Here is a 26,490-nt window from a genome sequence, read left to right on the forward strand (position 1 = left end):
TTTATTTATTTATTTATTTATTTGTTAATGACAGGATCTGGCTCTGTGGCCCAGGCTGGAGTGCAGTGGCATGATCATGGCTCACTGAAGCCCCGACCTCCTGGGCTCAAGCGATCCTCCCATCTCAGGCTCCTGAGTAGCTGGGACCACAGGCATGCACTATGTCCCACGAATGTATTTTTTATTATTTTTAGTAGAGATGGGGTCTCCCTGTGTTGCCCAGTCTGGTCCCAAACTTTGGAGCACAGGAGATCCGCCCACCTCGACCTCTCAAAGTGCTGGGATTACAGGTGTGAGCTACCGTGCCCAGCCTGGTTCTGCTTTTTTTAACTCCCCTTGTTGATTCTCTTCAGAGACCATCGCTTTCCACTCCGTGACAGGGGCTCTGTGGCTTGCTGGATTTGTCTCTTCGCCGTCAGGGAAGAAATGACATTGTGTTCCCAGATCAATGCAGTGTAGCCACCGTCAATGACTGGACAGAATGAGAGGGCATGAGCCAGCCAGGCAGTTTCAGAGAGGCCTGCAGGAGACACAGCCTAGCTGCCACCACGGCTCCCCAGGGTCCTTGGACGCCTGCTGGTCCCCACTGGGCTACAAGCAGCTTTGTGAGAGACATGGGGGCGGGAGGATCCACTGGCTTGGTACCTCTGCAGCCTGGAAATGGAGATGTTAATGTTCTGTGGGTTCTTCCCCTGTGAGATGCGGCAGTTCACAGGTCTTTCAGAAAATGAAAGGTGAAATGGGAGCTTAAACACAGTATGCATGTCCTACCACGCAGCCGCCAGCTCTTTGGGGCACAATTCCGGTCGCTTTCCTTGCTTGTCTGACTCATTCTCCTTTTCTTTTCTCCTGCTTCCCTGGAACTGCGTTCTTCAAAAGATATAGCATATATATTTTATCTGAGACTCTGCTTTCTGAGGAACCCCATGTAAGCAAAGGTCAAAGAGGAAAATCCAGACCGCTGTTCTGAGAGTCCAAATATCCCTATGTTTTACCTCTTGAATAGAAAAAACATCTGAAGAGGAAGTCAAATCAATCTCTGAAAATGTAGTTGCATGTAAAGGTAAAACTCTTGGCTCCAATGGGTTATATGTATAAGATGCCATTCCAGGAGAGAGGCCATGCTCTACACACTGTTGACATAAAAAATAATGTTTAACCTTCTTCAGGTTATATTTTAGTAAATGTTAACATATGATCCAAAATTCTATGGGATTTCTAAAATTCTAATATGCCTGAGTATATGCTATCAATCATAATTATGGTTATGTTGTTATTGCAGACCACAGAAATAACCAAATTTCCTTGTCAACTGTGTCTTTAACTAAGACTATTTAAAGTCATTTCCACAGTTAATTGCTTAATTCTGATGCAGTTTCTGAAAACTTCACAAACACGCAAAAATCCTAGAATATATAGTGTATTTTAGGAGTTTCATAAAAGGATGGAAAGAACCCTGAAAAGCACTCATGAACAAAGTCCAGGAGCAATCCAGGGAGCCCAGGCCCAGACGCGGCAGGCAAGAGGCAAGGCTGCAGCAAGCAACTCTGCAGGAAGGACGACCTGCGCATGCCACCACCTACTGACTCCCCAGCACAGACGCGGCTTCCCCTCCACCTTGGCATAGGTGGCAGGGGCCCAGGATCCCTTCCAGGGAAAAGGTGTTCCCTTGGAAGGTGCAGAGGCAGGAGAAACAATCCCTCCCTTGACTGGCTCCAGGGGCCAAAGTCCTCTGAGAGCTCTTTGTGCTTCCCTGACAACCCCCCATGGCTGTCCTGTCGCCAGAGCCCTACGGAGCAGCAGATGGTTGTGCGCTTGATCAAACACAGGCAGAGATAAGACAGTGTCTGGGATTGCTCCAGAGGTGCCATGGCTGGCAGGAGTCAAAGGACACTTGAGACAGTGATGTGCTCTCGCAGAATCTATTGAGCTGAGCTGACTGAGCGGTCTGTTTTTCCTCCCGAGGCCAGCAGGCCAGCATGGAGACTGAGAGGAGAAGAGCACTTAGCCTAGGGCGGCCGGGGAGCAGCAGGCCCACCGCCCTTCCCGAGAGGCTTAGCTGGGGCGGGGGTGAGGCCAGGGCCCAGTCCGCTCTCCAGGCTGCCAGGAGCTGAGGCTTCATCCCAAAGGGCATGAACCTGAGGATCCGTCTCCAGAGAAGCTGAGTGGGCCCAGACTCTGAGTGTGTGGGGGTGTCAGCAAGCAACGGGCTGCACACACCACCAGTGGCGCCCCCGCAGGGCTCCTCACCCACCATCCATGGGGGAAGCCTCCAAAGCGAAATGCACAGATCAAAGCAAACACAAGAGAGGATGGAACACAGAGGAAAAATGCAATGCAAGGGCAAAAGGAAACTGGACTCTACAGAAAGGAAATTATAGGAAATAGGGAATCCGGGACTCCAGGAAGAGGGGCTCTGAGAAAAGGAACAACCGGGGCCCCAGAACACTTCTAACATCTGCCAGGAGCTCTTAGAAATAAAAAATTATGCGCGAGAAATGAAAAGCTCAAATAGAATAGGAACATGAATTTGAGAAAATCTATTAGGAAGTAGAGAAAATAATAAAATCAAAGGATCAACCCAGGAAGTCCAACTTATAAATACTAGGAGTTCAGAAGGAAAGAAGAGGAAAGGAATTACAAAGATATTCAAGAAAATTTCCCGGCCGGGCGCGGTGGCTCACGCCTGTAATCCCAGCACTTTGGGAGGCCGAGGCGGGTGGATCATGAGGTCAGGAGATCGAGACCATCCTGGCTAACAAGGTGAAACCCCGTCTCTACTAAAAATACAAAAAATTAGCCGGGCGCGGTGGCGGGCGCCTGTAGTCCCAGCTACTCGGGAGGCTGAGGCAGGAGAATGGCGTGAACCCGGGAAGCGGAGCTTGCAGTGAGCCGAGATTGCGCCACTGCAGTCCGCAGTCCGGCCTGGGCGATAGAGCGAGACTCCGTCTCAAAAAAAAAAAAAAAAAAAGAAAGAAAATTTCCCAAAGTTTGGTTTTCAGATTTAAAGAGCCCACTGAGTTTTCAGCATAATAAATGGAAAAAAAAAATCCCACCAAGTTATATTACCAGCACATTTCAGAACAGCAGGAATAATGCTAAAAGTTTCCAGAGAGAAATGGGGCAAATAGGTGACAGATATATATATATATATATTTTTAATGGAAGAAAGAAGATCAATTCCTTTATAATTCTGAGGGAAAGTTATTCCCAGCCTAGAATTTAGCACTCAGTCAAATCTAAGAGTAGAATAATCTCAGATATACAAAGTCTCAAAAAATTTACCTAAGGAAGATACTAGAATACAGATTACAGCAAAACCAGTGAATTAGCCAAGAAGTAGGAAAATGACCCATTCCAGGAAAGCAGCCAGAATCCCCCAGGTGGTGAAAAGAAATCCTTGGGCTGGGGCTGTGCAGCTGGTCCCACAGGAGTAGGAGAGGCAGTGCCAGGGAGGAGATATTCACAAAGAAGAAGTGAAAGAAATTGATAGATGAGGAATGCGTTTGACCATGTGAGAAATATAGTTTATTTACAGAGTTGTTGAAGAGTTTGAGCAGCCACAGATATATGCCCGGCTAATTTTTGTATTTTTAGTAGAGACAGGGTTTCACCATGTTGGCCAGGCTGGTCTCGAACTCGTGACCTCAAGTGATCTACCCGCCTCAGCCTCCCAAACAAAAGCTAGGATTACAGGCATGAGCTACCGCATCTGGCCCCTCACGTTTTTAATTTGTGTTTCTCTAGTGACCCAAGATAGATACCTCTACACATGTATAAAAAAGACTGAGGTTTTGGTTGTTGTTTTGTTTTTTGGCCTAACTGAAGAGAATCTGCTCATCCTTAATCTTAAAGACCTGCTGGACCATAGAAGGGTCCCTTGGATTCCTATAGTTCAGCTGAGCCTAAACTAAAATTTTAAAATAACCCTGACAAAAGGAAGTGATCATAGCCGAACTACAGCACTGGATGTGGTATCGGGAGCTCATTTCTGTTCAGCCTGACGTGCAGTGCTGCTCCTGAGAGCTGACTGTGAGCGAGGAAAGAGGTTCTGGGAAAAGCAAGTGTGCATCCCCCCCATCTCTGAGAGATGGCAGCAAACACTTTAAGCCACCCTCCTCTTGAAAATAGTTTACATAGCAAGATTCAATATTGAAAATGCACCTTAAATAAGTCATCTATCAAGACCAAAAATGAAGAGAAACATGGATTCCTGGAAAGTCATTATCAGTTTTGCCCTAAGGGCATCTGCAAAACCTCAAGGTCTAACCACTGAGAGGGGCTTGGAGAGGGGACACAGGGTCCCAGAGTGAGAAGTCTGGGAGGAGGCATTGGCAGAGAGCTGGAAGACTGTCTTAGATCATTCTCGCTGCTAGAGCAACAAACCACAGCCTGGGCAAGGTATATGGAATAGAAATTTATTTCTCACAGTTCTGGAGGCTCAGAAGTCTAAAATGAGGGCACCAGCAGGTATGATGTCTGGTGAGGACCCAGTCTCTCCGTGTCCTCACACAGCCAAAAGGACAGAATGACAAAGGGGGTCACATGCTGAGGGAGGCCTCCTTGATAAAGGCCATCTTCCCACCCACAGTGAAGGGGCCCTCACGACCTAATCATCTCCCCAGGGACCCACCTCTCCATACTGTTGCGCTGGAGATTATATCATTTCAAGAGGAATTTGAGAGGGAACACAAACATTCAAACCTTAGCAGAACCTAAGTGTGAAACAGGACGTAAGCCTTGGGAATTGAAGGAGTCCGCAAAGGCACCTTCCTGTGTTGAACAGTGGCTGGAGGAGAAACTCAGCTGAGACTTCATGAGCGTAAGTCAGTCACTGTGTGGATTTGCACCCCAAAGCAGAAAAAACCCTCAATCATAATTTGATTTTTTTTTTTTTTAGACGGAGTTTCGTTCTTGTTGCCCAGGCTGGAGTGCAATGGCACGATCTCAGCTCACTACAACCTCTGCCTCCCAGGCTCAAGCGATCCTCCTGCCCTAGCCTCCTGAGTAGCTGGGATTACAGGCATGCACCACCAGGCCCAGCTACTTTTTGTATTTGTAGTAGACATGGGGTTTCACCATGTTGACCAGGCTGGTCTCAAACTCCTGACCTCAGGTGATCCTCCTGCCTCGGCCTCCCAAAGTGCTGGGATTACAGGCGTGAGCCACTGCGCCCAGTGGATAAATTTTAAATTTAAAAAGTGATGCCAGATGGGTAGAGCCCCTAGAAGACTAGAAGAAATGAATTCAAATGAAGGAAGTCATAAAGCTTCAAGAAATTCCAACAGATAAAGTTCAAGGAAATTGGTCAGCTTACTGTGAAAAAAATGTCAAAACTCACAAGGAAATAATATGACAGAGAACCAAGAGAAAAGGCAGAATCAGACCCAGACTTCGGATCAGACACAGAATGTGAAGTAAGTTTAAAGGGTTTAAAGAAATAAAAGAGAGACTTAGAAATATGAACAATTAAAAAGACACTATAAAAATTAACAGGCAGACTTGAAGGGGGAACAGATAGACGAACAACCCTTCTAAAAATGAATTATATAGTAATTGAAGTTAAAAACTCAATGGACAGCAGAAAAGCTGCCACAAAAAAATAACTGAGGAAATATAAGATATATCTGAAGAAATTATGCAGAATCCAACCAAACAATAAATCAAAAAGATTTAAAAATATATTTTGAAGAGGGAGAGTCATGGAAGGGAGATTGAGAAGATTTAACATAACTAGATTCCAAGAAGGAATAATAGGGAAATGAAGAAAAAGCAAAATTTGAAGAGATAAAGCCTGAGATATTCTACAATTATTTGAAGGTGCTAAGCCTCAGATCCAGGAGGCAGTTGGCCCTAAAAAGGGATAAATAAAAAGAAATCTGCAATAGACATGTTACCAGGGAAGTTGGAAGCAACAGAAAGAAAAGATCAACCATTTACAAAAGATCAGCAAATAACCGATGACAGGTATGTATTTTTCAGAAGACGAGCAAACCACCCAGTGACCTTTCACGTTGTTAGGGGTCTCTCCTAAGACCTTTTTCTGGGCATTGCAGCATCCTCAGTTCATTCTCAGGATAGGCCAGGAGTGCGTGACACTTACAGCCTCTGAAAGCAGCCCTCGGCCCATGATGAATGTTAAATATATGGCCCAACTTCCTTTCCCCAGGTGTGGATAACTCAGGAATGCTCTAGATAGCCTCTTGGAGCCTCACAGGGAGACTGAAGGCCACCCCTGATAGGAGCAAATGGCCTAATAGTGTCCCCATCCGCTGCCTCAGCCCCACTCACTGCTAGCGCTTCCTGCCATCACATCCCAAACTAGTAAGCACCCACATCATCACGGCCGGCTTCTGGGGGAATCCAAACAGGACAGGCTCTAGCACAGTGGCGTTCTGCACCCCTCATCCTCTCAGCAGGCCACTTTTCCTAAGGAAGCCCTCCTTCCACCTCAGTCTTTTTTTCTTTTTTTTTTTTTTTGACAGAGTATTGCTGTTGTTGCCCAGGCTTGAGTGCAGCGGCATGATCTCGGCTCACTGCAACCTCCGCCTTCCGGATTCAAGCAGTTCTCCTGTCTCAGCCTCCCGAGTCGTTGGGACTACAGGCATGTGACACCACACCCAGCTAATTTTTTGTATTTTTAGTAGAGACGGGGTTTCACCATGTTGGCCAGGCTGGTCTCGAACTCTTGACCTTTAAACTGGATCACTTTAATCACTTTAAAGTTGACTTTTAAAGTGGATCACTTGCCTAGGCCTCCCAAAGTGCCGGGATTACAGGCGTGAGCCACCTCACCCAGCCCCCCTCATTCTTTAGAGTCATGGCCTGGCCGTGACACCAGCCCCCAAAGGCATGGTGGCCAGGTCTGTACACATCCAGCCCATTCCCTGCATAGAGACCCCAGGAAAAGGTGTCCCCACTAGTGCCTTCTTCTGAGGAAAACAGTCATGCAGGGTGAGAGCTTAACTAAGGACATTAGGGATCCGCTCAGCCAGTAGGGCTCTGGGCAGTTGGGGCAGGCGTCTGCCTCTTCTTTCAGTGAGCTGCAGGGGCCCAGTGAGATGATGCGTATGGACATGCTCAGACTTTCCAGGAGTGTATGCTCCTTCACACATGAGCCAATGCTGGCTGCACATCCACTATGCACACAACACTGTTGAGAAGAAAGAAGAGCAGTCATTTGACCCAAAGCAGAAGCAGATGACAATGATCGTGACAATTATTACAGCAATTATGAGAGTAGAGAAAAGCAAATTGTAATTAAAATCATAGGTAAAAACTACATGGAATACGTCGGGAAGGGCTGGAAGGAAGTTAATGTATGTGAAGGCATTTGCGCTTTCAGGAAGGGGGAGGGTATATTATACCTCCTAGCCATCAGGAGATAGGAATTTTTCAGCTCCATTATAATCTTATGGGACTAAGTCTGTCATTGACCAAAATGCCATTATTATATAGCATATGATTCTGTGTGTGTGTGTGTGTGTGTGTGTGTGTGTGTGTGTGTGTACTGTACATGTGTTTTTAGGTTTTTTATATTAACCATGTTGGTTTATAAAAACTTAGAAAAAAATCACAAGGCCGCTATAATTCCACCACCTGAATACAATCTTTTAAATATTTTAGTATACATTTTCAAGTTGTTTTGTTAAATATATTTATTTTACAGAATTAAAACAAGATTATATGTATTCTTCTATGCTGCCATTTATTTAGAAACATTTCATGAATATCATTTCATTTCCCAGGTTAAAAAATATGGTGTCCAACGTATTTTCAATGGCTGCATAATTCCCCACTATATGGATGTAACCAAAACTTATTTAACCATTATCAGTTTGGGGGCCAGAAAGCTATATTCTGTTTTAGACTGCATTATAAGCAAGGCCATCATAAGCATCCTCAAGGTTTTGTGTCTAATGGTTTCCCAGCCTCTTAGCGACCTTATTTTTCTCCATAACTAACCAACCATCTTGCTTATAACCAACTTACCATACATTTATTTTACTTATTGTCCATCTCCCTCAATCAAAATCTAAGCCCCTTGAAAGCAGAGCTTTTTATCTGATTTATTCCCAATGCCAAGTACAGTGCCTCGGATGTCATAGTCACCAAATAAATACTTGTTGGATGTGGATGGATGCATGAATGGATGGATGGATAGACACAGGGATGACATCAGAGAAATACAGAATATGATAAAATCCTGGAAAAATGGGCCAACAGAGCCAAATGTTTTGATGGAGGGATTAGGGAGAGGCAGGAGTTTGTGTGAGTTCTCTTGGTGACAGGAAACAGTTTATACTTGTGGATGCCAAGTGTGGGTGGGGTTGGGAATCTATGCTCGTTGGCCAGGGGCTCTTTCAGGCCCCTCCCCCACCCTTGTTGGAGTAGACAACCCCCAGGTCCAACCAGTTTCAGAACCTATCATTTTGCTAACCCAAGCCTTTTTTTTAAGACAGAGTTTTGCTCTTGTTGACCAGGCTGGAGTGCAATGGCGCGATCAGCTTGCTGCAACCTCCACCTCCCAGGTTCAAGCAACTCTCCGGTCTCAGCCTCCTGAGTAGCTGGAATTACAGGTGCATGCCACCACACCCGGGTAATTTTTGTGTTTTTAGTAGAGACAGGGTTTCACCATATTGGTCAGGCTGGTCTCGAACTCCTGACCTCAGGTGATCCACCCGCCCTCAGCCTCCCAAAGTGCTGGGATTACAGGTGTGAGCCACCGCACCTGGCCCCCAAGCACTTTTATAGGTTAAATGAGATTGTGCCAAATAAACTGTATTTCATTATTTTTTTCCCAGTGTTTAAGGGCATGGTTGTTAATAAGAGTGATAAAAACAAGAAACATAGCTAAGCCAGAGAACCTCCACATAAAATTTTAAAATAAAAGGGTTAGGGCCCGGTGCAGTGGCTCACACCTGTAATCCCAGCACTTTGGGAGGCCGAGGCAGGCGGATCACGAGGTCAAGAGCTCGAGATCATCTTGGCTAACTCAGTGAAAACCCCATCTCTACTAAAAATACAAGTGGCGGGCACCTGTAATCCCAGCTACTCGGGAGGCTGAGGCAGGAGAATGGCGTGAAACAGGGAGGCGGAGCTGGCAGTGAGCCGAGACTGCACCACTGCACTCCAGCCTGGGTGACAGAGCGAGACTCCATCTTAAATAAATAAATAAATAAATAAATAAATAAATAAATGGGTTTGAATGCTTACAAAAGTAGACTGGGACAAAGCTACAGTAATCGAAACAGTGTGGTACAAAGACAGACATACAGACCGATAAAATAGGATAGAGAGCCCAGAAACAAATCCTCAGGTATTTAGTCAAATGATTTTCAACAAGGATGCCAAGACCATTCAATGGAGAAAGGACAGTCTTTTCAACAAATTATGCTGGGAAAACTGAATAGTCACATCAAAAAATGAAACTGGACTCTTACCTTCTGCCATATACAAAAATTAACTAAAAATTGATCGAAGAGCTAAAAGTATAAAACTTTTACAAGAAAACCTAGAAAATCTTTGTGACATTGGATTTTGCAATGATTTATTTGATATGACACCAAAAGTTCAAGAAATAATACACAAAATAAATAACCTGGACTTTATCAAAATTAATGAAAACCACTCATCAAGAGTGACAAGGCAATCCACAGAATGAGAAAAAATATTTGCAAATCATCTACTGGGTAGGGGATTAACATCCAGAATATATAAACAACTCCTAGAACTCAACAATAAAGACAAACAATCTAATTAAAAATGGAGAAAGGACTTGAATAGATACTTCTCCAAAGAATATATACAAATGGCCAATAAGCATATGAAAAGATGCTCAATATCACTAATCATTAGGAAAATACAAATCAAAACCACAATGATATACGACTTCACAGCCATCCTAATGGATGGCTACTATTTATAAACAAATAACAAACAAACAAAAACACACAGAAAACAACATGTTGGCGAGGATATGGAAAAATGCTCTACATTGCTGGTGGGATGTCAAATTGTACACAGTGGAGAACAGTATGATAGTTCCTCAGAAAATTAAACATAGAAACCATTATGACTCCAATATGGCACTTCTGTGGTTTATATTCCAAAGAACCAAAAGCAGGAACCTAAACAGGTATTTGTACATTGCTGCTTATAATAGCATTATTCACAATAGCCAAAGGTGGTGCAACCCAAACGGTCCATTGACAGATGAATGGATAAACAAAATGTGGTCTCTACACACAATGGAATAATATCCACTCTTAAAAAGGAAGGATATTCTGATACATGCTGCAACACGGATACACCCTCAAAACATTATGCTAAGTGAAATAAGCCAGCCACAAAAAGACAGATACTGTATGATTCCACTTCTATGAGGTACCTAGAGTGGTCAAAATCAGAGAAAAGTAGAATAGTGGTTCCCAGCAGCTACGGGGAGAGGAGAATGGAGTTTTAGTGCTTAATGGGTACAGAATTTCTGTTGGGGTCAGGAACGTGTTTTGGCAATAGACTGTGGTGATGGTTGCACAACAGTGTGAGTGTAAATGCCACTGAACTGTACACTTAAAAAGGGGTAAATGGTAAATTTCATATTATGTATATTTTACCACAATAAAGAAAAAGAAACCGGCCGGGCGTGGTGGCTCACGCCTGTAATCCCAGCACTTTGGGAGGCGAGGAGGGCAGATCACCTGAGATTGGGAGTTTGAGGCCAGCCTGACCAACATGGAGAAACCCTGTCTTTACTAAAAATACAAAATTAGCCAGGCGTGGTGCTGCATGCCTGTAATCCCAGCTACTCAGGAGGCTGAGGCAGGAGAATCACTTGAACCCGGGAGGTGGAGGTTGCAGTGAGCCAAGATCACACCATTGAACTCCAGCCTGGGCAAGAAGAGTGAAACTCCATCTCAAAAAATAAGATAAAAATTTTTTTAAGAAAAAGAAACCAACTGTTCACTGTTTGGAAATATGAAATAAAAAAGTTTTTAAATATTGAAAATTTTAAAAGAAAAAGAAACAGCTCAAAGCAGTAGGTCTGATGGTACCCCACAAATGCAGCTGACGTGACTGGCACAGTGGATGGCCGACTCATTTGTGCCCACAGTCAACTCTTTGGCCTGCCAAGAAAGCAAGGGGTGGTGTGGCCAGAAGGTCTGAGACCCTGGGGACAACCAAGTGACCAGAAAGCTAGTTCCAGGAAAGAAAAGGTTTACAGCCACTGCTCAAAAACACAGATGAGAAATCTAAGTCAGTGTTTTGTGTGTGTTTTTTTGTTTGTTTTTTTTTTTTTTTTGAGACAGAGTCTCGCTCTGTCACCCAGGCTGGAGTGCAGTGGCACAATCTCGGCTCACTGCAAGCTCCACCTCCTGGGTTCACGCCATTCTCCTGCCTCAGCCTCCTGAGTAGCTGGGACTACAGGCGCCCACCACCATGCCTGGCTAATTTTTTTTGTACTTTTAGTAGAGAGGGGGTTTTGCCATGTTAGCCAGGATGGTCTTGATCTCCTGACCTTGTGATCCGCCCGTCTGGACCTCCCAAAGTGCTGGGATTACAGGCGTGTAAGTCAGTGTATTGTAAAAATAAAATGTAAGTTCACATTAGAATAATATTTAAGAAAAATCATTCAGTGGTATCTGAACTGGGTAGCCTAGTGTAAAAGATTTTTCCAGGAGTCCCTGGGGAAGACCTGATCCCACATCTTGGGGAAATAAAAAATTTGAAATATATATTTTCATGTTACCCAAAAGTTAGGGGTGTTTGAAAACTGTCTGAAATGACAAAGTAGAAGGGTTGGAACAGTTTGCAGTGGCCGAACGATGACCATGTGAGCATCGAAAATGAGCAATTGTCACTCACTGGAAGAAGCTGAATCTGTAATTATCCTCACAATTACATGATTTTATAAGACACATTAAAAAATCCTTAAATGCAAAAGCGGGGAGAGCCTAATAAGGAAGGCTAATGCTTACTAATTTTAACAAGAGGAGGACTGTGGGGTCTGCGGGAGTCCTACCCCTGACTTGGGGTGTATGTGGCAACGAGGCAGAAACTGCCTTCTGTCCTACCTAAGAGAAAGACAGGGAACTCCCACAGCCAGGATCTGCCAAAAAAGGTCAAGACTACCAGCAACATGGGCGAGGGGGCCTCTGGGGTCACGTTGAGTTAGTCGCTGCATAGAAAGAGGGCTCAAATCTAAAAAATGCAAGAGGGTAGGTCACCCAAGGGTGGGGAAGGTCTTGGCTGGAGGATGAAGGGGCCTCTTGTCTCTGGGGCGAGGCGATGTCAAGGGGAATGACAAACCAAACCAGTCCAAAGCAAGGGGACTCTGTGTCCTGGGTTCTCAGACAAGGTGACCGGGAGGGAGCCCACCAAGCTCAGGGAAAGGCCTGGCCTCCGTCATCCACCTGAGCTCTGCCTTCCCTTCAGCCTTAGCCTCAGCGTGGACCCGGGACTCCTGCATCCTCCCGTCCTGCCCCGCCTGGGCACACCACGGCCGAGAGCCTCCTGTTGGCATCAGCCTCTCCCCAGCACCGACTGTGCGCTCCCGCTCCCCCCTCCTCCCCACAACCCCGCCCCACACTACTGGCACTGCTGCCTGAGCCTTCCTGGAGTTACTTAATCCACCCCAGCCCCAGGCACTGAACCACGCGTGCAGACCCCTCGTCCTCAGTTCTGCGGAGACAGAGTCCCCACAGCATTTCTGCTCCTCCCTCAAGACTGCGGCAGAGCACAGCACCAGTAGACCCCACACAGTGAGTACCTGTAGGGCAAGTGCCTCTTTCGTTCTCTTAATAATAGAGTCAGGTCCCTTCTCCAAGGGAAGACCCTGCCTTGCAGCCCCAGCCTGGCCTGCCCCTTCTTGCAGGCCCGCTCCGAACCCTGGGTAAGACTCGTGACGAGGCTCCGGGTGGCCGAGCCCTTCCGAGAGTGCTGCGGTCGGCAGGGCTGGGCTGGCTCTCTGGGCTGAGGGGGAGGGGCTCCCACACCTGTGCGCTCCCGGAAGAGGGGACAGCGGCGGGGGCGCCGTGCGCACGGGGGCGAGGGGAGACGACTGCACCTGAGGGAGGCGCAGCCGCAACCGGGTGGGAGGCAGAGACACCCAGAAACAGAGACGGGGCGATACGAACAGACAAAGCCGGCTCGAGCGCGGCCCGAGCGGCGGCGCAGGGAGGCGGCAGCCTGGCGGAGCAGCCCCCACCGCGGCCGGCGCGCCCCCTCGCCACCCCTGCGCGCCAGCGCCGGCCCGCCCCTCCCGCTGGCCTCTGGCGGCTTAACCCTCGCCTGCCCGACCCCGCGGGGCCCCTGGAGCCGCGGTGGGTGGGTGCGGGCGCCGGGCCTCCCCCTCCCGGCCGCGGCGCGCGGCGCCGGGAGCTGACCGTGGTGCTGAGCGCGGCTCGCGCTCCGACGCGGTGCCCGAGCCTGTCGCGGCCGCGCCCTGCTGCACTGCGGGCCCCCAGCGGTAAGTCGCCAAGGCCCCGAGAGGCTGCGTTGGTCCTGCCCCGCGGATGTGGACCCCCGGGGAGGGCAAGGATTGGGGAATTTGGTGCATTCTCTGGCGCGATGGACGGGCTGAGGGCAGGAAGCAGGGTCGACACCCTCCACCCAGCGGTTCCCGGCGCAGTCAGGGGCCTGGGAGCGGTGACCCTTTTAGGTCTGGGCTAGGGAAGCGGAGAAACCCTCCGCCGGCGGATGCAGGAGCTGAGGGAGAGCCAATATCGCTGTGAGGCCCATCTCCTTGCCCCTGGGCAGGCCAGGACCGCCCAGAGGCGCCCTCCAAGGAGGTGGGCCAGGACCTTCCCTCCCCAGAGGGCCCTTTGTCTCCCCAGTGTGGGGGTTGGGTGGCTTGGTGGTGCTCTCACCGCAGATTCTATTTCTGTTTTATTCCCCATTCCCACCCCCACCCCAGAGCACGGTCGCTTTCCCTCCGCACAGTGGCCCTCACTCCAGCCCTCCCATGACAAGGCAGCCTACTACTGAGAACGCTATTGCCCCATAGCTCTACCGCCAGCCCAGTTTCCAGAGGTCCCTGGGCCTGCGCTTTTTTATCACCATACACTCCTTTGTATCACACTGCTGTGACTTTCCTGCATACCGGGGAAGGCATAGAAAATACCAAAACTATTAGCCAAACGTTTTTTTGTCTCAAGGCGTTTCTGTGGCATGTGTATTCCTCCAGGGTTTTTATTTTGCTCCATGAAATCAAACACCGGGACACTTTCAGGTTAAGAAAGGAAAAAAAAAGCCACGGAATTACCTTCTCAAAGGAAAAAGAAAAAGCTGGGCAGCTAAGCCTGAGTTGGTCATGTAGAAAAGCAACCAGTAGAATAACTTCATTTGCCCAATTTGCAATAAATCCATGTCTGTGTGTGCCGTGTAAAACACTGTGATGGGAGGTGCACAGACAGAGGAGTCTCTGCCACCACCTTCTCTCCCCTAAACCCTGCTTGGGCTCCTAACTCGCCTCTGTGTCTCCGCTGTCCATTTTCACCTGCATCTTTGAAAGTGAGAATTGGCCCGTCACTTGCCCTGGAAGGTTGGCTCCCTGTGGCTTGCAGATAAAAGCACGGCCCTCGCTGAGACCTCAGGCCGGGTGTGGTGTGTACAGCCCATCTCCAGGCCTCATCCCTCTGGCTTGCTGCTCTGGTCACTTGAGCTGCTTTCAGATCCTTAAATATTCTACTTCTCTTGCTCCTCGGGGCCTTTCTGAAGGGTGTTCTCTCTGCCTGGAATATGTGTCCAATGTCTTTTGCCTGGCTGTCCTCTTCTGTCTTTTAAGTTTGGTTTAAATATCACATCCCTGTAACAGAATTAATTAAGTAAATACATTGTGTGGTCCCTGTTCCCATGGAACTTGCAAGTTCGTCTTAGAGATGAAAGACTCAGCCCAGGGTCCTGGTGTCAATGCTGTCTTAAAAAATGATGCACATAGGCCGGGAGCGGTGGCTTACGCCTGTAATCCTGGTACTTTGGGAGGCCTAGGTGGGAGGATCACAAGGTCAAGAGATCAAGACCATCCTGGCTAACACGGTGAAACCCCGTCTCTACTAAAAGTACAAAAAAAATTAGCCGGGCATGGTGGCGGGTGCCTGTAGTCCCAGCTACTCAGGAGGCTGAGGCAGGAGAATGGTGTGAACCCGCGAGGTGGAGCTTGCAGTGAGCCAAGATCACGCCACTGCACTCCAGCCTGGGCGACAGAGCGAGATTCCATCAAAAAAACAAAACAAAACAAAAAACCCACCATCCTGGCCAACATGATGAAACCCCATCTCTACTAAAATTAAGAAAAAAAAAATTAACTGGGCGTGGTGGTGCGTGCCTGTAGTCCCAGCTATTCAGGAGGCTGAAGCAGGGGAATCGCTTGAACCCAGGAGACGGAGGTTGCAGTGAGCCTTGATCACACCACTGCACTCAAGCCTGGGCAACAGAGGGAGAAAAGAAAGAAGGAAAGAAGGAAAGAGAGAGAGAGAGAAAGGAAAGGAAGGAAGGAAGGAAGGAGAAAGAAAGAAGGAGGGAGGGAAGGAAGGAAAGAAGGAAGGAAGGAAGGAGAGAAGAAAATGATCCACATAAACTGTATCACAGAATTAAAATCTCAGACTCTGCATCCTGTTTAGGGAACTTAGGTGTAAACATTTGACTAAGATATCTCAAATATAAAATAGTTCATTTAACTAAGTAATAGCTCACCGCCTACTATAGTTGGAGTCCTGGACCTTAAAGAATTTTCAATCTCGTTGGGGAGTGCAATCAAGCACCAGAATGAATAGTTGGTGGTTGCTGAGCCCTGCAGACAAGAAGGCACCCGAAGGGTAGGGACGGGTCTGAACCCTCCTTGGGGGAGGGATGTGGCACTTGTGGGAGTGGACCTGTCATGTTTCTTGCTGGGGTTCCACTGACGGGTCTATAGCCACAGGGTTACAAAACAGTGTGCATTTTTGCAACTGAGAACCTGGACACATTTGGCCTCTGCCCTCAGGCAGTGACAAGGCCAGCATCTGGCTGTCCACATAAATCCCATTCTGCCCCAGAGAATTGTCACAGAAGTTGACTTCTCAGTCTGCCTCCAGCCAGGCAGTGGGCCCTCCAACCACCCAGGGAGTTCCCACCCCCATCATAGGTCACACATTTCCAAAGAGACAGGTTCCGATAAAACATTTTAATATGGATTTGGACTGGACCGAACACAGACTAGAGTTCATGGGATGCTCCAGTATTGCTAAGCCTCTGGTTCCTCATTCTGTATCCTACACTTATTGTCCTGTCTCTATGCAAAGTGCTCAATAAACTCAGGAGATGGGCTTGGCATTGTTAGTGTCACTGAGTCCAGCCATCTATAGCAATGACAGTTATTTTAAAGGATCATTTTTCAAGTTCAGAGTGGAGTGAAATTTCCAACTGTTCATGATTTTAAATCAGTTGACTGTTATGAGAACTGAGAAACTGGTAGTTTTATTTATAGACATCTATATCAAATAAAACATTTTTGTTCTTGCAGTTGCAAAATTCTGCACAAGGTGAAATAATCCTTGCTGTGCCTGGCTGAAGTTATATCCAACAGAATGTCAATCAAAAGATTTTTCCAAAACATAGAAAAGAATAAGGGAAATAGAGATCTCATAATGAATATTTCCAAAATTTCCTGCCATAGGAATTATTATTACCTTCAATTATAATTTTTCTAAATCTGTGTGAGCTACCCTTCTTGCTTTTAATCTTCACTTTCATTGTGTTTTACAATATTTTTCATGAAAACACATTTATTATTCTACTTTTAGATTTCCCACAAAAGAGTCTGAGCTGTCGGTTTATAGACTGTCAGGTTCAGAATCAGATAGACCTGGGTTCAGATCCCAACTCTGTCACTTAACACCTGTGTGACTTGGGTCAGTTCATTGACTTTTCTGAATCTGAATTTATCCTTTGTAAAATGGGGGTTACAGTAGTTTGCCCCTCATACAGTTATGGGCCAAGCTGTCTGCCTGGTTAGGTGGGTGTAACCAAGACTCCAGCCAGGGTCATCTGAGCCACAGCTTGGAGAGTAAGCCCTGTGCTGTGTGCAGCAAAGCCCAGCAGAGCTTCGGAGGCCTTATCACGGCTGCAAAGGATTGTGCAGAGTAGAAAGTCTGCAGGTGCAGGGTGGGAAAGACTTAGGCATACACCATCTGGCATGAGGCAGAAAAGCCAGTGTGGCTGCTCAGGGCAGTCTCCCTCTGTCCAGGGTGCCACTAGCAACAGCTGAGCTGCAGCTGGAGCCCAGCCCAGGTTCTGTGGCTCTCCTGGCATGGTGCCTACTTCTTCTCATCCTCCAACCAAAAGTCTGAGGTGCTTCCGAGGAAGCACTTCCCTTGGGTGGGAGCGGGTGGAGCCTGGTCAGCTTGCCCCTGCCAGCCCCTGCAGTGTCAGCTCTTCCACCCCTTCCCATTTTCTTGGCCTCAACGTGCCCACTGGGCTATGAGGCAGTCCCTCGCCCCCCTGGGTCCTCATGAAGAAGCATTTCAGGGTCTCTGGCAGGTAGCTGCAAAGCTTACTTGGGGTGGGGTGTGAAAGGCACACCGGCTGATGGAGCCCCAGGTCATGTTCATGCCTGCTGCAGGCTTCCTCACAGCCAGGAGCTGGGGGATGAGTGCAGGGTTGCCTCCGTGTAGTCCTTATGGAGAGGCGAAGGAGCCAGCCGCAGTCTCTTCCTGGCCAGACTGACAGAGTACTGACTGTCAGGCCACTCACTACCAAGAAAGGTGGAGACCCTGGCAGACAGAGGTATTTTGGGTGATAGGAGCAGGCTGAGTCCAGGGCCTGAGGACATGGTGAGGGGAACAGAGGGGAGGGACTCAGTCTGCCCTCTCTTCCTGGGTACTGAAGGTCTCCACAACACACCCCAAGGCAGCATGTTTAAAAACTAAACCCTAGCTCTTCTTTCACCTTGGCTCAGCTCCCTCCTCCTTCGCTCATTTCCCTCCTCGAGCTGTCCCACGCTGTTGGTGTAGATCCAAGCCTTGGCCTTCAGAACTCCCTGCCTGCTTCTCTATCCCTGCTGTCGGTGAGCCCTGGCATTCTTCCCTTTGGAAGACCCTACATTACCCCTGCAGCCGCCATCTGCCTTGCTCCCCATCCTCAGTCCATTGGGACTGCCTCTGGCAAGTCCTCTCTGCTCACAATTCATTTTTTCTGTCCTCCACTCGGAGGTCAGGTGCGTGGCCCTAGACCGCCAACTTCATTAAAGTCCCTGCTCCTACCCACCCACAGGAAGATGGCTGTAGCTCCCCACTGATCTCAGTGTAGGGCCGGATGCCCTAACTGGGCCGGGACAGTCAATTGGCTAGCACTGCTGCCATCTGTCCACCTCCATGCCCAGGGCAGATCCCAGGACCCTTTCCCATTGAACTCAGACCAGGCATCAGAAACCTTCTCTGCATGGCACTGCAGGCATCAGTATGCCTCGGTGATGTGTGCACAAAAGGTGGTGGCTGCCTACCCTTGCAGCTCTGCCTGCCCACCCTGTGTCCCATGCTCACCTCCCACCACGATGCTCTGGTTCCTCTGTGTCCATGCTCTTGCACCATGAAGTTCTGGGCTGTGTCTTGCCTGATGGCATCTGTAGATAGAGTCTTGCCTCCCTGCACAGGCACACAGTCCTGGAGTCTGCAATATGCACACCCCCATAGCCCCAGCTGAGGGCCAGCTGCCTTCAGCCCAGGAAGCAGGCAGGTGTGGGTGTCCCTTTAGCTGCCTGATGAAGGAGGCCACTGCCCTAATTGGATCCTCCGCCCATCCACTCAGAAGGGCCATGACACCCACTCCTAAGGACCTGCTACGGATACACTAAGGAGCTGTTTGTAGAACGCTGGGCACTCTACACAGAACACGGAGTCTGAATGGGCCAAATGAGCTAAAAGGGGGATTGGGAGAGTCAAGCACTCATGGGTGCAGCAGTCACCAGGCCCCAGGCAGCTCTCATTTTGGCTCCTACTGTGTGCTGTTAGGGCTGCTCCCATCTTTCTCCCCCACCTGCAAGGAGGATCTCCTGGGACAGAGGCCCCTGCAGAGAGTGAGCTGTGTGAGAGGGGTAGGCAGGGTCTTCCAGAGCCCAGGGCCCTCCCGTCTATGATACTGAGTGCCTCCTGCTTTCCTCCACAGCAGCTGGGGCACTGGCAGCATGGAGCTGAAGAGAGGAAAGACCTTCATCAAGTCCAGCCTGCAGGTTTCCCACGAGAAACCCCCAGACCCAGCAGCCGTGGCTGCAGCCAGGGAGGGGACAGGCCCCTGGTCAGTCCTTCCAGGAGGGCAACAGAGGCCCCACAGTGAGAAGGGCCCCCAAGCCAGCCCCAGTGCCCAAGAATACGACAGATGCCCCAACAAAGGGGCGCAGCTGGACCCCAAAGGGGGACCCGCAGCCCTCTGTGGAGCCACCTTCAAACCGGTGCGAAAGTGCAAGACTCACGACAGCATGTCTGGGGCAGGCAGGGCCACGGCTGCCACAGGGCAGCTGGTGGGCAGTGCAAGCTTCCCGGGCTCCCCGGGCAGCCGGCGCATGATCGACTACCGCCACTTTGTGCCCCAGATGCCCTTTGTGCCAGCTGTGGCCAAGAGCATCCCGAGGAAGAGGATTTCCCTGAAGAGGCCCAAGAAGTGCTTTCGGAACCTATTCCACATTCGGAGAAACAAGACTGAGGACTTGGCCTCGCTGGCGGCCGAGGGGAAAAGCCTGCCCTCCCCAGGGGACCCGTCAGACCCTGGGGGGCGGCGAAGCAAAGCCTTCCTCCCCCCGGGTGAGGGGCCGGGGCTGGACGGCCTGTGCCAGGACCTGTTGGACAGCGAGCTCCTGGCCGATGCATCCTTTGGTCTCTGCAGGGCCCTGTGTGAGGACGTGGCCTCACTCCAGAGCTTCGACTCGCTCACGGGTTGTGGGGAGGTGTTCGCAGATGAGAGCTCGGTGCCATCTCTGGAGCTGAACGAGGGCCCGGAGAGCCCAACCCAGGCTGCTCAGGGCCTGGAGAGCAAGGTTCCCAGGGGCCCTCTCCAGGGCAGTGTGGAGCAGCTGGCCTCGCCCGCCCAGAATGAAGCCTCTGACTTCACCAGGTTCTGGGACAGTGTGAATCGCTCAGTGCGTCAGCAGCAGCGTGCCCTCCTAGGCCCGTGGCTTTCAGGCCCCCAGGGGACAGACAGGGACCAATCCCGGCTGGACACAGCTGGGCTCGCTGAGCTGCCCCTCTGCCCCTGCAGGGACCCTCGCAGCGGCTCCAAAGCCAGCTCCATCGACACAGGCACCCCCAAGAGCGAGCAGCCCGAATCCGTGTCCACAAGTGACGAGGGCTACTATGATTCCTTCTCGCCAGGACTTGAGGAGGACAAGAAGGAAGCTGAGAGCCCAGGCACTCCTGCCGCCACCTTCCCACGGGACAGCTACAGTGGGGACGCCCTCTACGAGCTCTTCCACGACCCCAGCGAGGGTCCTCTTGGCCCCAGCCCAGATGATGACCTGTGCGTGTCTGAGAGTCTGTCAGGGCCGGCCCTGGGGACGCCACTGTCCATATGCAGCTTCCGAGTGGGGGCCGAGGAGAACTTGGCCCCAGCACCAGGCCCTGACCTGCTCAGCCAGGGCTTCCTACAGAGCTCCTGGAAGGGCAAGGAGTGCCTGCTGAAGCTGTGTGACACTGAGCTCGCCATCACCATGGGCATCGTCAGCTGGCTGCGCCGAGGCCCCACGCCCCGTGCCCCACCCACCCCTGGGCAGCCTGCAGCTCCACCTGGTTCCCAGGGAGCCCCTAGGGCACCCACAGAGAAGCTGGGGGGCAGGGAGGGCCTGGCCTCAGATGCAGGGGGGGCGACAGTTTGCTCAGCACCCAGCAGGCAGGAGCTGTGGGCACACCCGGGCACCACAGGCCTGCTCGCCGGAGAGAGCAAGGCCCTCGGAGGGGCCACACAAGGGACTGGCACACTGTCCAGGGATGCCTCTCGAGAGGAAGAGACACGAGGTCACTCTGAAGGCTTGTTCTCCTCTATGGAGTCTGCAGCCACTTCGACAACAGATACTTCCGGTAAAAATAAGGCCCCAGTTCCTTCTACCTGGCCCTGCTCCCAGAAGGAGCCTGGGCCACCAGGGGTCCTGGGGTGTTTCCGAGGCCCCTGGAGGCCAGGTCACGGAGGTGACACTCTGGATGCAGAGCCCATGCTGGCAGGCTGTGTGGCCCGTGTGGCAGCCCTGAAGATCAGCTCAAACGAACAGCCCCCGGCCGCATGGCCTCCAAGGCAAGACATGGGCAGTGGGCTCTTTGGGCAGCGCTGGGCCAGGGGCCCTGACATGCTGGAGCAGAAACAGTCCAGCAGCTCCCCCAGCATGACCACCATCCATGGCCTACCCTACTCAGCCAGCACACAGGACCAGAGGTGTCGAGATCGTGTCCAGGACCTGAGCTGGCTCAGGGTGGAGCCCACCGGGCTAGGTGTCCAGGCCTGGGCCTCTGTGGAGGACCAGCCCTTGCAGCTCAGCACAGAGGCTGTGGAGCAGGTGGCACACGGCAGCCAGCTGGACTCTGAGCCCCGCTCAGCCCCTGCTGCCCGGTGGAGTTCCCAGGGCCACCATCCAGAAAGCCTGGGCCTCACTTTGAACAGCCAGCAGGAAGGGGGGGTCTCTGCAAGTGCCCCAGAATGCCGCTGCAGCCTCCTGGCCCGTGAGGGCCTCCTCTGTGGCCAGCCAGAAGTGGGGGCCTCTGGGCCAGCCATGGCTGAGCCCCATCTGTAGGACAGGCTCACATGCACCAGGAACTGCATGTGTCTTCATGACCACTTTCAGGAGAGCCTAGGACTCAAATCTCTATCTTTTGTCCCTGATGTGGGGACTGTGTTGGGGGTGGGGGGTGGCAGGACTCAGGCATGCAGAGGGTAGCATGTTCATGTGGAGGCATCCTTGCCTGAACCCACCAGCTCAGGCAGCCCACCGCCAAAGACAGCGCGAAGCTGCAACCACCTAGCTGCTCCTCATGCAGGGGCTGGAGAGAGGGGCTAGGGCTTGAAACTGAGGGGGAGAAAGAGCTGCACATTGTAAATGGGAAGCAGAGAGCCAATGAGTCTGCCTGGGATGTGTGTGAATCCCAAAAGACGCAATCCCAAATGCCATAGTCCCAAGTGTTGAGAATCCAAAATATTAAAATTACTATACTCTAAAATCCGAAAATCACAATCCCAAAAGATCTAAATCCTGGAAATATAATTCTGGGAAAATTTTTTTTTAATTTTTTAAAAGATACTTACATTTTAAAAGGATTTATTTGAGAAACATAAAAACACAACAGAACACATCAGCCACTTCACACAATAAAATAGGCAATAATACATATTTTTGGAAGCATAAACAGGTATACAGACAGTTACACCGGTGTGAGTTATTAGCAGACAAACTATATTCATGAAGAAATAGGTCAAAATGGGAAATGTATACATGCATGTCACTATGCTTGGTAATTGTGTGCACCTCGCTTTATACTTGCAGTCATATCATGACCAACAACCTAAGTCTTTTGACGAAGTCAATCTATGATGCGTCACCACCACACACACAGTTGCCCAAAGAGCGGAGATGGCAAGAACTTTCATCTCTCACAATTGCAGATGTACAAAAATTACATCTCTTCATTTATTGAGGAAGTTTTGACGTTTTTATACACACGCACAATGCTTACACACACAGTCAACCTGGGATGCCGGCAGGGTGGCTCAGGACGAAAGCCTCAGGACCCAGGAGGGCCATGGGTGTAAGTTCCAGAGTCCAAAGGCCAGCGAGCCTGAAGCTCTGATGTCAAGGCAGTGGAAGAAAAGCCTGTCCCAGCTCTGAGAGAGAGACCAGTTTGCCTTCTTTATTTGTTCTCCCTGGGCCTCAGCAGATTGAATGCTGCCCACCAACATTGAGGGTGGATCTTCCACACCTAGGCCCCTCAGATTCACACACTAATCTCTGGAAACACCTCACAGACATGCCCAGAATAATGATCTCCCAGGTCTCTAGGTATCCCTTAACCCAGTCGAGTTCACACCCAAAATGAAGTCCACAGGTCCACCCCTTGTCAACTTGGCATCCATCCGCATCCCCTTAAACCATTTTCAGTCTCCAAATAAAGCCCCAAGCAAGGCAGTAGCTCCACCTAACATGATGCAACTATCCCGGGATTGTGATTTTTAAGACTTTAGATGTTAGGGATTTGAAACTTTAGAGATTTGCGTCTTTCAGTATTTCAATGTTGGGGACCAGTGTTTGGGATTATGTCTTTTAGAATAATGATCCAAACTTGTGTGAGGACTGTGAGGCTCAGGGTGGGAGACGGGTGGGGGAGCCGACCTTAGGAGGGCCCACTGAACCGGCCTCAATCTGGCCCCAGTCTGGCCTACTCGCTGCCCCAGGACAGGTGGCTACAACATGCTGAGGGCCTGAAGGGCGTCCCCTCAGGAACATTGTATTACTGTTTTGTGTTGCTATAAAGGATAACTGTGACCAGATCATTTATAAAGTAAAGAAGTTTATTTGGCTTGTAATTCTGCAGGTGTAGAGGCATGGCACCAGCATCTGCTGCTGCTTTTTTTTTTTTTTTTTTTTTTTTTGAGACAGGGTCTCACTTTGTTGCCCAGGTGGGAATGGGAGTGCAGTGGCACAGTCTTGGCTCACTGCAGCCTCTACCTCCTGGGCTCAAGCAGTCCTCCCACCTCAGCCTCCCAAGTAGCTGGGACTACAGGCGTGCGCCACCTTGCCTGGCTAATTTTTCTATTTTTTTGTAGAGACGGGTTTTCGCCATGTTGCCTCAGCTAAAATGTCTCAAAATCTCCTCAACTAAAATGTCTCAAAATCTCAGCCTCCCACAGTGCTGGATGACAGGAGTGAGCCAGCCAGCATCATGCATCCCTGTGCGCCCTGCCAGGGCTGGCGGGACCCTCCCACCCTTGTTGATGGGCAGTGCTAGATTATTTGTCACGAATCATCCCCTACAAACAATGATTTCCCTCCGCTTGCACTCTCTAACTAGAGCCATGGATGGCCAAATGCTTTTTGGGAAGAAGCCAATGGATTCTCCTCGGCTCTGCCTGCAAGTAACAAAGGCTTTTGACTCCACTCCCTCCACGCTGTCAGATCGCCATTCCCCTTCAGGAAAACTTCGAATGGGGCTGTGGACCTCACTCCCCAAAATGTCACAACACATGTGCAGCACCCCGACATTCAGAACCATGAAGGGAGAAGGTGGCTGGTGTCTGTAGGAGGGACAGGTGTCCGTCCTGGGCCAGTGTCAGGCCAGCAGGTGCAGGGACAGATGGGCCATCCACATTCTCCAAGATTAGCTTCTACCTCAACCAGCACACCTCAGCAAGATGCCAGGATTGGGCTCCACAGGCAGCCATGAAATGGGTTTCTGGAGGAAAGATCAGCACAGGAAAAGGGGTCAGTCAGGTCGCAGGCAAAGTGCTAGGGAAATCCCATCTCATGCAGAGCTCCCACCAAGAGGAGCGTGAGTTGTGCTGTCCTGGCTCGAGAAGAAGGCAGCACAGGATCTGTAGCTGAGGGTGGCCCTCCCACCAGGGGACGCTGGTCAGTGCCTCTCCTGACTGCCTGACGCTTGGTCTCCGGTGGCCCTCTCTCACCAGGGCTCCCTGAGGCCTGCTGCAAGCAGGACACAGGCTGCACATCACAGGTTCCAAAGTGTGCAGCAAGGCTTCTGACCAGGCCCGTCCAGATCTGGAGCCCCTGTGGAGCCACATCTGAGCCCTCCTCCCAAGACTCACACACAGGACCACAGCAGCATCACTGAGCCGAGCTGGGGGCAAGTTTCACCAGATTCGCTTACCTGATCCTTGCATCAACCTCAATGCAGTTGTCAGCCCCATTTTTCAGACCTGGACACGGAGGCACAGGGTGCTGGTGTGACTTGCCCACAGTTATTAGTGTGTGAGGTGATGGGTTTTGTCCCGTCCCAGCTCCAAAGGCCCTGCTCTTCCTCAAGCTCCAGAACCTCTCACTGAGCTCCTGCAGTGAAGTCCCCCCTCAGAGCCCTCAGCCCTTCCTGCTTTCAGGCTCCAGATGTCAGAGCACCCTTGGGTGCCAGCCACAAGTGGCCCTCCAGCAGGCTGAGCACCCAGGGGGAGGCTGCCCTGACTCAACCCCAGCCTGGGGCTTTGTGCTGCACCTGAGGGAGTAGCCGCTCTGTAAATCCTTGTTGAAAGAATGAAGTGTCAAAAGGTTGTGCGTGCTTTTCTGATTTCTTGTTGACCATAAGCCTTGTGTCTGGAGGGCGACTCTGGCCTGAGTGCCAGCCGCCTCCCCGCTGGCAGAGACAGAACACTCCCTTGTGCCATGCTGTGATGCGGTGACTCGTGGTGATGGAGAGCCCAGCCAGGCCCAACGGCGCTGGGAAGGGCAGGAATCCAGGCGGTCAGGGAGTGGTCAGGAGGGCCTAGGGTCCAGAGAGGAGCAAAGGGTGCCCAGGACCCGGGCCATGTGGAGGCGTGGTCTACAGTGACCCGGCTGCAGGGCCATGCCTCCTGGGAGGACCCACTGGCCTCGGCTCTCCACTTGGGGGCACTATAGACAACCTCAGAACCCCAGATTCGAATTCAGCATCTGGGCCTGGGGTCCCAGGAGTGGCCTGCTAGGCACCCTGCTGGGGGATGGAGGGGGCAGCGTGAGCTCCCTCAGGGTGATCTCTCTCTGTCTGCACCCCACCCTCAGCCTGTTTTTCCCTGCAGGCCTCAGGGTGACCCACTGTGGATAAAGAAGGGAACTTCAAGCCCAGCTCCCGGGACACGTGCCTAGCCCAGTGCCGGGAGCAGAAGAGGCTGGCTGGGCATGTTCAGACCTCCCTGGTCATTTCCAGCCCTCTCATCCACACATGGATGGCTGTAGAGGTGACAGCAGATTTCCCCACGTGAAATAAAATCCTGAGAAGTCAGTCCAGTTGCCCTAAGCTCACAGCTGTCCCACAGAGCTTGAGTGGCTCGCCCAGGCTCCCAGAGTCCCACAGGTTGTGGAAAAGGGGTTTGCCCAGGGGCCGTGCACTGGGGCTTCCAACCTGCCACTGCCACGTTGTGCTGGGAAGCTGGGAACATTGGGTAGGGCCAGGAGGGAGAGAGGGAAGAGGACAGGGAGGACGGGCAGGAAGCGCTGAAGAAGAGAAGGGGCGAAGGCCAGCACAGGCAGGGAGAGACTGCAGACCACATCCCAGGATGCTTCATGTCTTTCTTGGTTTCCTATTTTATTTTATTTTCTGGAATGGGAATAAATACACAGGATACAAAACTCAGAAGGCACAGCAGGGAAACAGTGAAAGTCGAATCTCCATCCTTCCTTCCTCAGCCCTCTGTTGTTACAAAATTAATCCACTCTGACAGAAGACAAAGTTGCAACAAATTTCATTACAGATCTAATTGGCTTTTATTTGTGATTGGTGAATGCGGCAGCCTCCATTCTACAAAACAGAATGAGAGCTGCTCCAGGCAATGACGGAACACTGA

At 50.6% G+C, this 26,490-nt stretch overlaps 1 protein-coding gene and 1 long non-coding RNA gene across 6 annotated transcripts, besides 2 other annotated features; one reads left to right on the forward strand and one right to left on the reverse strand.

The window, feature by feature from the left end:
• On the reverse strand, window positions 1-12,969 carry LOC124907890 (uncharacterized). The gene is made up of 2 exons (XR_007087239.1): window positions 12,770-12,969; window positions 1-1,133 (listed from the first exon to the last, which is right to left on the reverse strand). It is a non-coding gene; the product is annotated as an uncharacterized LOC124907890 (long non-coding RNA).
• Window positions 12,403-12,902: an enhancer, noted in NCBI's record as "H3K4me1 hESC enhancer chr2:131512889-131513388 (GRCh37/hg19 assembly coordinates)". NCBI's record gives its function as "activates a minimal SCP1, AML or CMV promoter by ChIP-STARR-seq in naive H9 embryonic stem cells {active_cell/tissue: H9 hESC(naive)}" and the evidence as "EXISTENCE:reporter gene assay evidence [ECO:0000049][PMID:30033119]".
• AMER3 (APC membrane recruitment protein 3) lies at window positions 12,627-25,221 on the forward strand. 5 transcript variants are annotated; one of them, NM_001105193.2, is made up of 2 exons: window positions 12,627-12,892; window positions 19,141-25,221. In NM_001105193.2, the coding sequence occupies exon 2, from the start codon at window positions 19,160-19,162 to the stop codon at window positions 21,743-21,745; it is 2,586 nt and encodes an 861-aa protein (NP_001098663.1). In that variant the 5' UTR covers window positions 12,627-12,892; window positions 19,141-19,159; the 3' UTR covers window positions 21,746-25,221. The 5 variants fall into 5 exon arrangements, with proteins under 5 accessions (NP_001098663.1, NP_689911.2, XP_011509095.1 ...); NM_152698.3 differs by having other exon boundaries at window positions 12,627-12,761; XM_011510793.3 differs by having other exon boundaries at window positions 12,627-12,761; window positions 19,144-25,221.
• Window positions 13,781-14,284: an enhancer, noted in NCBI's record as "H3K4me1 hESC enhancer chr2:131514267-131514770 (GRCh37/hg19 assembly coordinates)". NCBI's record gives its function as "activates a minimal SCP1, AML or CMV promoter by ChIP-STARR-seq in naive H9 embryonic stem cells {active_cell/tissue: H9 hESC(naive)}" and the evidence as "EXISTENCE:reporter gene assay evidence [ECO:0000049][PMID:30033119]".
• Window positions 25,222-26,490: the final 1,269 nt, after the last annotated feature.

This window comes from Homo sapiens, chromosome 2, assembly GCF_000001405.40.
Source record: "Homo sapiens chromosome 2, GRCh38.p14 Primary Assembly".
In the NCBI taxonomy this organism is placed as follows: domain Eukaryota; kingdom Metazoa; phylum Chordata; class Mammalia; order Primates; family Hominidae; genus Homo; species Homo sapiens.